The sequence below is a fragment of the Homo sapiens genome, chromosome 9 (assembly GCF_000001405.40).
Source record: "Homo sapiens chromosome 9, GRCh38.p14 Primary Assembly".
Taxonomy (NCBI): domain Eukaryota; kingdom Metazoa; phylum Chordata; class Mammalia; order Primates; family Hominidae; genus Homo; species Homo sapiens.
Genome location: NC_000009.12, coordinates 78,847,015 through 78,860,177, shown reverse-complemented (window position 1 = coordinate 78,860,177; position 13,163 = coordinate 78,847,015). Strand labels below are relative to the sequence as shown.

The following is a 13,163-nucleotide window of genomic DNA, read 5'->3' as shown; positions in this document are numbered from 1 at the left end:
CCCAGAGTGGTCTCTGGAGTCTGTGTGCTCTTTTGCATTCCTGAGGATACATTTTTGCTTCAGTCCTTCCTGTCATCCTTTTCCTGGTCTATTTCACCTGGTCTCCTTGCCATTAGTATCTAGACCATTCTCCACAGTTACGTTCCTTTTTTTATATAATCTCTTTATAACATTTTCTAGTAATGTCTAGTATCCTCATTCCTTTGTTTTTCCACTCATTCACTAAACATTCATTTCTTAAGCCACTATCATATGCCAGTTATGATACAAGTTTTGGTGGTAAAGTGGATGCAGGCATGTCCGGGACCTCATGCAAGATCTCTTCTAGACTAACTGCCATCTTCCTCACTAGTGATGGAATTACTTCCTCCTCAGGATGCCTGAGCCATGTCCAGGTGCTCACTAAAAAAGGAGTACCCTCTCACTTCCATGGCTTTGCACATACTCTTTCCTCTGCCAAGAATTCCCTTCCATCCCATCTTCATCTGGTAAATACCTCCTCATTCATCAGGGATGCAGGGATGATAGCATTCCTCAGCTATCAAAGCAGAATTCAGATTCCTTCTTCTGTTCCCGCAGCACCCCTAAGGGTTCTTACTACCTTATTTATTATTGATCTTGACGTAATTGTAATTATCAATCTCAAAGATGGGAAAGTCTGCAATCTGGATACTGTCGTGTTTTTGTTTTCTCTATCATTTAACATGACATATCCCAACTGAGATACGGAGAAGGGAGGAAAAGTAAATTGTTTTGCTATTATTATTGTACTCAAGGGGAGTACAATGTTGAAAACAGCAGATGCCCATCTCCCAGGGATTAGGCCCGTCTGAAGCCCGGGCCACTTTTGGATACAGGTACCTATGTCCCTAACCTTTCAGCTTCCCGAGGAACTCTTAGGCCAGGCAACTGGAGAATATTCCCAGTCTTCACTTAGAGCAGCCAGTCTCTGAGAACAATGGGTTTGGGAAGGAGGCCTCATAAGTTAGAACAGTGTATCCTCTACATCGAACACACTCTATAGTGGAAAGTAGGTGTGTTCAAGGAAATGGGCAAGAATTTGAGGCAATATCCATTTTCACCAGGCAGGTAGTATACATGTGGTACAAGCCACAGAAGCTTCCTTTGGCCAAGCCACATAGCAAACATGGAAGGACCAGGGCACTGAAAGCATGTACTTAAGTCCTATGAGTAACAAGGCCTCATTCTTATATGGGGGGAAAATGCCATATTATTAAAAAAAGAAACAAAACAAATAGAAAAAAAGTATGGCTACATTTAGGCTTCTCTTAAACTTTAAGTTATAGCTATAAACATAAAACACATCAGGTATTCTAGGTTTTGGTATTATTCCAGGTGCAGGTGGCTGATAAGTTTAAAAAGAGAAGGTAAGCTCCAGGTATAGAAGGAGGAAGAGGTGGAGGAGCAGAAACACTAATTTACCTTCTTTAAAAGAACAAACCCTATACACCAGTCTCCTGGCTGCTTCTGACCCATCTCTCTACAATCTTTCTCCCTTCCATCTAGCCTTATTTTCCCCAAAAACAATACAATAAAGGGAAAAAGTCATATGTTAGTTGCTAATGCAGCTTTTAGAGATAGAAAAGCTTATCTCCCTAACCACAATTTTAAGTCCAAAAACTCTCTACAATCAACAAAATGCCACATAGTTAATCAAACAAGATGGAATGAATGCACTTGTGCTCTAGCCTGAGGGCACATTCCTTCTAGCCAGTCAGGAAAAGATGTTGGGATGGGGAGAAGAAAGAGGGTCCAATTGGCCTCCTCTGAGCTCCCATACATCAGGGAAAACCCTGGTACCCACACGAGCTTTGCCTGGCTTGCCTGTGGCATGAAACACAGGCAACTATAGAGAGCCATTGCCAGGAGCAGCCAATCCTCCTGTGGTTTGGCCTCTGCCCTGCCTGGCCCTCCTCTTCCACCTAATTCCCATAGGCACATCACCTCGTGACCCGAAATCCCCACTCCTCAAATGAACAACCAAATTGCCCTGACACTGTGTCTTTGTAGAAGCTGTCCCTCCCGGGAGCACGCCTCTGTGTGAGTGGGCTATGGAGAGTTGGGGAGCAAGAAAGGGCGACTGGGTTCAAAAGTAAAGTCATCAGAAATAACGAGGCTGTTCCGCCCAGCTCCCTGCCAGCCAGGCGAGCGGAGTGCCCTCTCCAGCGGGGTGTCCCAGCTCTGCCGCTGAAATAACTGGTCACGGAGAGCGGCAAGCAAATTGCTTTGACAAGGCCGTTGCTGTTGTAAGGGTTCAAGGGTGCCGGCCACTAGGTCAGCGGCTGCCAATCAAGCAGACAGAAAAAGCCGCTCATTGAGCCTGTGATTTCTACCTAGGCCGCAATTATCTCTGACTATTCCTGTACCTCAGCAGCTCCTCTGATTAAACCTGCCTCCCTTTTACATCTCTTTCAGAGTGCGCTTCACACACTAATTAGTTGCCTGCTCTCCACTGAGATGTCAGACCCTCCGTCAATTTATCTCTATTTCAGCCTGCTCAGAGTGACTTCCCCAGTTATCAAAATTTAATCATGCCTTCAAAAATGTTGAAAAGTGGTCATTAGAGGCAAAAGGCCACAGGATACAATATTCATTTTTCTCTATCTTCCAGCCATCCAGCTGGCATCTATAATGGATATCCTGGGGGCTGTGAGAACACGTTGATTTATGCAACCTCGGCCCTCCTCTCACTGTGCTCCACTGGCTGCTTGAGAGAACAGGTTTTAACAAGGTCTGAGGTGGGAGGACATTAATCACGGCAGCATTGTATGTGGAAAAGGGTGCTGTGTAGTGAAAGAACCCCCTACAGTAGGGCAGTTAGAGGTGTTTTTTTTTTTTTTTTTTCTTACCACCTTCTCGGTGATAAAAGAGAGTTTGACAATTGATTAGACCTTTCTGTAACCTTGCAGCCCAGCGAAATGATGAGAGAGAAAAGAGGGAGAGAATGATTCTCATACCGACAGTTTTAAATGTGCAATAACTTTATGATTCTTGACTGAAACTGGCTATCAAAATCAGTCCCAACTCAATACCATCTAAAAAAGAAGATCATTCTTGGAATAAGAGCCCTTTCGGTCGGATGTGTCAGAGCCAATCACAGGCTCCGGGGTCCCGTGGTGACTGCCGGCCGCCACATACGGTGGGTTCTGATAAAAATCACATCTGATAAATTCACTTCTGCTTGCCTGCTTGGCTGGAAAGAAGGTTTTAGTCCAAAATCAACAATGATGAACTGAAATCTATCGGCAGCTGGGAATTGCTTTTAGCCCTCCCTCTGGGCTGCCCCACTTCACTACTTTGCTTCTCCTTTTGCCTTCCCACATTGTCCCCAAGCCCAAGGAAGCAAAAGGTAGACACTGGGTGGGGCCCTTCCCTCTCTCTGCAGCAGTGGCAGAAGGAGCATGTCTCCTCACCCCTGATATGCCTGGCCTCGTGCTACCTGCAGCCCCTTTGCCGTCTTTTCCTGCCTTGGCTACTGAAAGCAACGTCTCCTGGCACCACAGAATATGCAAGGTGATTTCTCTGCCTTTTCACTTATGGCAGAAACGCCTTATGATAGCACCTTTTTTATCGTCATTCCTGTCTTTTTTTGATGCATGTGGTGAGGGAGAACAGTCAAATAAGAAGCCTTTGGAGAAACTTACAAAGGAGCTGTGTGTCATGGCAGAGATGGCTGATTGCAATGATTTAACTGCGAGCCTTTGTACCCACCCTCATGCTCTTACTCACTCTCACATCCTCATACTTCCACATCCTGAGCCCCAAAATGACTTTCTTTCTTTTTTCTCTGGGAATGGAGCCTGGGTCTGGACCAGGGAGTGGCTAGCCACAAAGAGAATAATTTGGAGGTGTATCCGGACCTCACAGTGGTAGGCTGGGCAGCCAAAGCAGTGAACAATGTCTTCTGTTTATGCTGGGGTGGGAGGGAAGATGAACCATTTGAAATGATGCACAGTTATAGAGTTCATGCCCTGGCCAGATTTTTCCCAGTCTCATTCTAGCATCAAAGAGGATCAGATTTACAAGCAAACCTAAAAGCAGGGCAGACTTGGAAAAAGGGAGGCAAATGGGAAGGAATCCTGATGTTGTTTCACTTATTTTGCTGAATTCCCACCCACCTGCAGCTGTCCCATTAAGGAATGAACACATTCCAAAGAGAAAGGCAAGAACATGGACCTGCTAATGATCATTTTGGATACAGAAAACTGATATGAAAGACTTGTACAAGTCTGGCTTGAAATAGTACTGGATCCTGGAACCACTGTCTTTAGGAACCAATCATGATGAACCCTGTATACCTGCAGCCACATTTGTTATCAAGCATGGAGCCTGTCCTGGTTCCTGCATTAGGCTTCACTTTCCAACCTATAATTGCATTCGTCCAGATACTTTGCCTTACATTTTTAATTCCACATTTAATGTGGACCAGAGGCTCTCTTCTTTTGGTAACATAGAATATCTACCCTTGCTACTTCTGGTTCTTCAGGAACTTGAGAACATACCCCTCTAGTGCTGAGCAGTGTGGCTAGTATTCACTCTAGGGGTAACCCTGACTCTGAGAATGGGGAAAAATATACATAAGTTTATAAACAAACCTCTATGAACCATTGATCCAATAAATGACCAAAATGATTAGCTGAATGATGTAATCTGTTACCACGTGACAATAGAAGGTCTGTCAAGTTTGTGAATCCAATGAGATATAAATGGAAAGAATAGCGTCATTGAGTAAAATGAAAAGAGGATGGCCTTATATATTTTCTTTTGCTGAGATCATAGCTCTGTATAGAAGTGGAGGACATTTTACATAAGCTGCAATGTATGTGATATAAAAACATAAATTTGTAAATTTGAATGCATATGAAGAAAAGCTTTTTTTAAATAACACTATCTGATTTTATATACTCTATCGAGAGGCATGCTTCTACTTTATTTGGGCTGTTTTGCTGTGACAGCCTTTAAAATGTATAAAAAATGATCTACGTTTCTCAAATTCAGTTACTATTATTTTAGAGTAGGGATACTTACTCTGAGACTCATAGACACCCCACCCACCCAGAGGTTCTTTGACATAATTCAGAGGGTCTGAGAATTTGAGTAGAAAAGCAATACATTTTCATTTTCACTACTCTCCGGCTGCAATTTAACATTTCATTCAGTTATGAATGTAGACCACAAAGTACACTGGCTTTGTCACTATCTGTGACTTTGTCACAAATACATACTACAGGTGTTCTCACATCACATTACAGTTATTCTAGATATCTCATCATTTATGTTATTTTATGTTATGTTATCTCTTCTTTCAAATTATAGCTGTTATTAAAGTTGCTATTAGATTTTGCTATTAGATACATAGAGAAGGACACACATTATTACTATATCACACAATTTTAATATTCATAATGGCATTTCGGTATAATTGATTTCCTTTGAAGTCCTATATATTTTCCTACGTATATTTATAGCTCTATTTTTAAAAGGGCTCCATGGGCTCTGTAGACTGTTAAATGGGTTAACGACACCAATGAACTAGTTAAGAATACTGGTAGTAAATAAATTCTGGTATTAGCCTGTCTTCCATTTCATTTAGTTAGTAGGAGAGATAGATTCTAGTGACTCTTCATCTATAAATGTGCTTTACAAACTCTTCTCATTCCACATACCAGCCAAAAGATTAAAGCAGATATTTTTTTTTGCATCTCATGGTACACATCAGTGCTAGAATGATGAGAAGCTCATTATAAGTCTCATTATCCAAATGTTGAATGTTTTTCATGGGATCTGTGGCTGTCAAAACCAAACACAAAACACACACAAAAAACACACCAACAAAGTATAATAACTAGGGTGACCATAAAATTTATTCTCTAAACCAGGAACGTTGAGAGTGGAAAGGACACTATTAATAATTTGCCAAGACAACAGTTGTAAACTGGAACTGTCTCCATGAACCGTGAGGTATGCCTAGTCACCCTAACAATAATTTAATTTCATGTAGTACTAATAACTTTTTTTTTGCCTATTTCCATCTTTGAGTCATGCAGCCAATCTCACTCATCATAAAATATATTAAGAAAAGAAGTGGGAAAAGTCTTCTGTTTACCCCTGCAGAGCTCTCAAGTGAATAAATCTTAGTTGCAGGACTCCAGATCTGAGTTAGGTGGAGTCAAGAAGACGGAGAATAGTACCTATGTCTTAGACTCCAGTCGCTACATTTTAATCTAGTCCAGCTGAACATACCCACTAATTCACCTCAATTCAGAGAGAGTTACACAGGATATTTTAAAATACATGCCATCAAGGCCGGGCATGGTGGCTCATGCCTGTAATCCCAGCACTTTGGGAGGCTGAGGCAGGCGGATCACGAGGTCAGGAGATCAAAACCATCCTGGCTAACACAGTGAAACCCCTTCTCTACTAAAAATCCAAAAAAATTAGCCAGGCGTGGTGGCAGGCGCCTGTAGTCCCAGCTACTCGGGAGGCTGAGACAGGAGAATGGCATGAACCCAGGAGGCGGAGCTTGCAGTGAGCCGAGATCGCGCCACTGCACTCCAGCCTGGGCGACAGACCCAGACTCCGTCTCAAAAAAAAAAAAAAAAAATACACGCCATCAAAGATTCCTTAGTAGTGGCTGATTTATAATGATTCTAGTATGCCATTTTTTGTTCACCTTATTTAAACAAGCATGACTATTTAATACTACATTAATATTACATTAAAGTCCTCAACTTTTCTATCAGGTCACTGTTGGCAAGAATTATCCCCCAGTAAGTCATATAATTAATTATATAGTATGCCAGCTGTTTCTATGTAATATACTTGATGTTTCATTACCGTCAACTGTGAGTATTAAAAAATATGAAGAAGAAGGTAGGCAACATTGGTGAACGGAGTTACAGTATATTCAGGCCACTAGCCAACAAATCATTGTGTAACATACAAATAATTGAATAGTAAAATAGTAAACGGTGTATAAAGTATTACCAATCATATCTATAGCTATTAGATTACATGGTCTTCACCTGTGTGTGGATTACCATTGCATATTCTTTATCCCAGACCAATCTGCAACTATTCCCACCTAACCACTTTGACCTACCTGATTCCTGTAGGTCCTTGTTACTCATATGGATGACAAAAGAATACTCTAAAGTGTCCAAGCAATACATGAATCTTCACCTGCCCAGGATGTAAAATAAGTGGGACATCCAGTTAGACAATTGCCAAAGTTCCTTGAAACTTAAAGATTCCATTATTTTGAAACCAATACAATAAATATGCTTATAAAAATATCTTTGAATACATTTCAGGATCTAATCCCAGCCTGTTAGGCTGGCCATGACATTGATTCTACCACATCAACACCTCCACTCATCAGTGGTTTTAATCAAGAGGTATCTCTTTTAAGGAAACTGTGAGTTGAAGGTGGTACATCACAATACTACTACCATTGTTCAAGAAAGCTGTATCCTTCCATCTGAAAACACTGAGCTTTCAAAATAAATGAGGAAGAATTATTGAAAAAAAACTTTTTCAAAAATTAGTCCAAGATTCTATATGAACTATAGGACGATGAAAAAAAATGTTTGCCAGAGTTTCAGAAATGCTCACTTCTAGGAAGATATAGTAGGTATACTTTGGCCCATATCTTCTACCAAGCACAACTAAAAACCCTGGAAATTACACATAAAACAAACATAAGAAGACTGTGAAAGTTGGAGACAAGGTAAACTGTTACTCAGCGCCTGAGTAACAACATGGTGGTGAGTTCCCTGGGTTTGCTTTTCTTTGTCCCATATATCCAGGACTTGAAGCAGAAGAAGCTATCAACCCAGAAATGTCAAAGGAAGCAGACAAAATGAAAGACTCAATGAAAACCTGCTGGTTCCAGCCAAAAGACCAAGAAAGGGACATCCTAACAAGACAGAAAACTTTGAGACAATAATTACTCTATACCAGCCAAACATCACAGGGTAAAAAACAAAAACAACTGTAGTCCCATCTTTCATCTGTACTAACAAAGGCCAAATGAGAAGACAACCACCCTTGCAAGGCTTTCACAATAAGCCTTAACACCCCTACTAGGACAGTTTCAGAGGCCAAGCAGAAAGTCAAGACTTTGATCACTACCAGCTGGTAACAACCCATCCCCACCATGGTGACAGTGGAGACCACCTTCAGTGCCTGGACTTTAACCCTCATCTGTTAGTAACAAGGCACATGGCTACCTCCCCACTCAGGTGGTATCACAGGGGGCCTAGAAGAGACCTAAATATTTTCCCATCTCCTGTTGTTAATAGGGCCACTCTCACAGCAGTCTCTGTAAATACCACATAGGAGACAAAACACCCACTCCTACCTAGAAGAAATAAGAAGCCCCGTCCCCACCCCTCAGGTGTTAACAGACTCTGAGTGGGGAACTTGGACTTCTACCTCTACCTGGAAGTAACAAAGTGATGTTCCTGTTTCCCATGCCATACCAGTGTCAGAGAAAGCTACCTAAAACAGAAAGCTTAAATAAGATCTAAAGTGTCATCATGTAATATGAAAATATCTAGGTTTCCATTAAAAAAATCACTACTCATTCCAAGTGCCGGGAAGATCTCAAACTGAATTTAAAAAAATAGATTCCAACACTGAGAAGATAGAGATGTTAGAATCATCAGAGATTTTAAAGAAGTCGTTATAAAAATGCTTTAATAAGCAATTAAAAGGAAATAACAGAAAAATTAGAAAGCCTTAACAAATCTTGTGTATCTGTGGGTGCTGCATCTATAGATTTGACCAACCACAGATCAAAAATATTTGGAAAAAAACAATAAAATATAAAATACAACAATAAAAATAATACAAGTTTAAAAATATAGTATAAGAACTATTTACGTAGCATTTACACTGTATTAGGTATTATAAGTAATCTAGAGATGATTTAAAATACATGGGAGGATTTGCACAGGTTATATGCAAATACTATACCATTTTGAATAACGGTTTTAAACATCCACAGATATTGGTGTATGAAGGTGGTCCTGGAATCAATCCCTCATGAATACCAAGGGATAAACCTATTAGTAAAAAATTAAAAGATATAAAGAAGAATCAAATGGAAATGTTAGAACTAAGGAACAAAATAACCAAAATAAACAGCTCAATGGATGGGCTGAAGAATAGAATAAAAGAAATAGAAGCGAGTATCATTGAATTGGAAGACAGAAAAGAGAAATTATCCAATCTAAACAATGGAGAGAGCAGACTGGAGGAAAACATGAACAGAGGCTCAGGCACCCGTGAGGTTATAACAGAAGATCTAACATTCATGCCAGCAAGTTCTAGAATAAGAAAAAGAGGGCAGGGATAAAAATATACTCAAAGAAATAATAGCTAAAACTTTTCAAATTTTTGAAGAGACACAGATCTACAGATACAAGAAGCTTACCAAATCCAAACAGGATAAATCAAAAGAAAGCCATGCCAAGACACATCATAATTGAACATCTAAAAACTAAAGACTAAGGAACAATCTTGAAAGCAACCAGAGAAAATTAATACCTTACTTACAGAAGAAAATTTTGAACAATATCAGAAGCTATGGAAGCCAGAAGGAAGTGGCAAAATATTTTTTAAATGCTAAAAGAACTGCCAATCCAGAATCCCATATTGAATATCCCTCAGGAATAAAGGAGAAATCAAAACACTTTCAGATGAAGAAAAACTAAGAGAATTTGTCATCATTAGGCAAACCCTATAGGAATAGGTACATGAAGTTCTCCAAAGAGAGAAAATGATACAACAAGAAACTTTGGAATGTCAGGAAAGAAGAAAGAACACAATAAGCAAACATTATGGGTAAATACAAAAGACTTTTCATCTCCTCTTGAGTTTTCTAAAGTATCTTTGATGACTGAAGCAAAAATGATAATACTGTATAATATGGTTTTAAATGTAAGACAATCATATCATAAATATGAGAGAGTTAAGGGATACAAAAGGAGGTAAAACTTCTGCACTTCACTCAAACTAATAAAATGTTAAAAACTAGTAGACAGGGATAAATCATATATATCACATACTACATAGAGCAGTCACAAAACAAAACAAAAAACTATACCAAAAGGTACACTCCAACACAGTATCAATAAATCAAAATGGATGGAATTCTAAAAAATATATTTAATAAACCACAAGAAGTTAGGAAACAGAAAGAGGAGAAACAAGCAAAAAGAAAAAAGAAACACCAAGAACAAGCAGAAAACTACAACAACAATAATAAGGCACACTTAAGCTTTAGCATATCAATAATTATATTAAATGTAAAAGGTCTACATACAATTAAAAGAGAGAGATTGACAGAGTGAATTGAAAAACATAACCCATTTATATGTTGTCTCAGGAAATTCACTTTTAATATAATGATATATTCAAGATGAAAGTAAAAGGTTAAAAAAGATATATTATGCAAACGTTAGTCAAAGGAAATCAGGCATGACTACATTAATATCAGATAAAGTAGACTTCTCAGCAATAAAAATTTCCTGAGACACAGAGAAACATTAAGTAATGATAAAAAGGGTCAGTGTATCAGGAAAACATAACAATGCTAAATGTTTATGCACCCAAACAACAAAGGTGTAATATATGTCAAATAAAAATAGATAAAAGTCAAAGGAGCAGTAAAAAAAAACCACAATTATAGTTGGAGATTTTAACATGCCTCTCTTAACAATTCATAAAGCAACTGGACAGAAAATCAGTAAGGATACAGAGAAACTCAACAACACCTTCAACCAACAGAATCTAATTGACACTAATAGAACCCAGCATCCCAAAACAACAGAATATGCATTCTTTTCAAGTGCCCATGAAACATATACCATGATAGAATATGCCCTGGGCCACAAAACAAACCTCAACAAATGTAAGATAATTGAAATCATACATAGTATGTTCTTTGATCACAGTGGAAACAAAACAGAAATCAATAACCAAAACATAATAGGAAAATCTCCAAGCACTTAGAGAGTAAACAACATAAGTAACTTTAGAAGTACATTAAACTGAATAAAAATGAAGATACAATATTTAAAAATGTGTCAGATACAACTGAAACAGTGCTGAGAGGAAAATGTATAATAAATGCATACATTAGAAAAGAGGAAAAGTCTCAAATCCGTAATCTAAGCTTCCTCGCCAACAACCTAGACAAAGAAAAGCAAAATGAACACAAAACAGAGGAAAAGAAATAGTAAAGAAAAGAGAAGAAATCAATAAAATTAAAAACAGAAAAACAATACAGAAATAATGAAACCAAGAGCTGGTTCTTGAAAAAAATCCAAAAAATGGTCCATCCTCTAGCACAACTAACAAAGAAAGAAGAAGACACAAATAAGGCAGTTGTGCTAGTAGAAGGAAACATTACCTCAGACAGACATAAAGAGATGCAGAAAGAAATAAAGAGCAACTGAAAGGTTATATATGTGAATGAATCTAAATAAATGTTTATTTTTAAAATCAATAATAATCTCTTACAGGATCTAAAATGTAAGAAAAATTTAAAACTACAACAATGATAACACCAAAGTCAGGAGGGGATTAACTGGGGTGTGCTGTTTTAAAACATGGCCACAAATCCTTTGATGCTGCCCTATCAAGGGGACTCTATTGCCTTTCCTTAAGTCTAGGTGGACTTGTGATTGCTTAAATCAATAGAGTATGGTAGAAGTGATAATTAGTGTCTTTCCAGGCTAAGTCATCAGAGGCTATGCAGCTTCTGCTTTGCTCTTTTGTTCTTTGAGCCCTGAATCACCATATAAAACTTCTGACTACTTAGGCCACCATGCTGGAGAGGCCACATAGGGGGTCCCTAATTAATAATTGCAGCTGAGCCTATCCTTCAGCCTTCCCAGCCCAGACACCATGCATGTGAGCAAAGATGCCATCTGTTTGGGTTATCCCCAGCCGTTCAAGTTATCCCAGCTGAAGCCCCAGACAACATGGAGTAGAATTAAGCCATCCCCATTGTGCCTTTTCAAAATTCCTAACAGAATCCACGAACATAACAAGTTCACTATTGCTTAATGCTACTAGATTTTAGGGTAGCTTGTTACATTGCAGAAATAACCAGAACATAGAGATAAAGTCATCTAATGCCCTAGAATTGTCTGGGAACTAAAACTCATTTATATTAGTCTGAGAAGTCAAAGAAGCATCTTATATTCATTAGATAATCTCTAAAGACATGGGGAAAGTAGACACAATTAAGATGCATGTACAATAGTTTTCATCAAACTCTTCATAAATTACATTTGCTACTTAGGTTTTTATTTGGGTTTTGAAGGTAGCCCCTTGAGAAGCTTTCCAGGATATATTAGTGCAATATTTTAGAGAAGGCTTACGAAATTGCCAGTGTCAGTTACCTGTACTACCTTCATATCATCACCATCACCAAACTGACACAGACTTTCTCACTATGGAAAGCTGTAACCAGCATGAATGATGTAAGTGGTGTGGTAATGCCCAATGGTAAATGTATTTCTAGATCTTATGGAAACTTAAGATTCTAAAATAAATATTGGAAAATATCTTTTTCAGTTTTAGGTCCAGTAAAAGGGAAAACTTGACATAGGAAGCTCAGTTCTAGCTCCACCTCTACCACGATCTTTGTGACCTGAAACGAAAAATCCTTTAAAATTTAAGATTCAGCTTTATAGAACTGAGAATTTTCCAACAAAAAGAGATAAACTTTTCCGACCCATTATACATTATAAACCATAAAATAAAGGAGTAGTACAGGATCATCACTAAAGCTCTTCAGATTCTAAAATTCAGTAGGAAAACTTTTGCCTGTGAAAAGAATCTAGGTTCTAGTCTCTAGACATAAAGCACTGAGAATTATAGTTAGATATTTAAATAAAAAGGGGGTTTTCCACCACTTTTACCAACTACTCTCTCTTACTCCTCTACATTCTCTCTCCCTTTCCCCACAACTACACATATGTATGAAAGCTATAATATTTATTAAAAGACTCATGTAGATTCATAGAAGAAGTTATACAGATTCCACAATTAAAGTGCAACCAGTAGAGGGGTGGAGCAAGATGGTCAAATAGAAGCCTCCACTGATCATCCCTGATGGCAAGGAC

At 38.6% G+C, this 13,163-nt stretch overlaps 1 annotated feature.

The window, feature by feature from the left end:
• Positions 1,980-3,347: an enhancer, noted in NCBI's record as "VISTA enhancer hs312". NCBI's record gives its function as "enhancer in: hindbrain (rhombencephalon)[10/13] | midbrain (mesencephalon)[10/13] | forebrain[10/13] | limb[7/13]" and the evidence as "EXISTENCE:transgenic organism evidence [ECO:0001131][PMID:17130149]".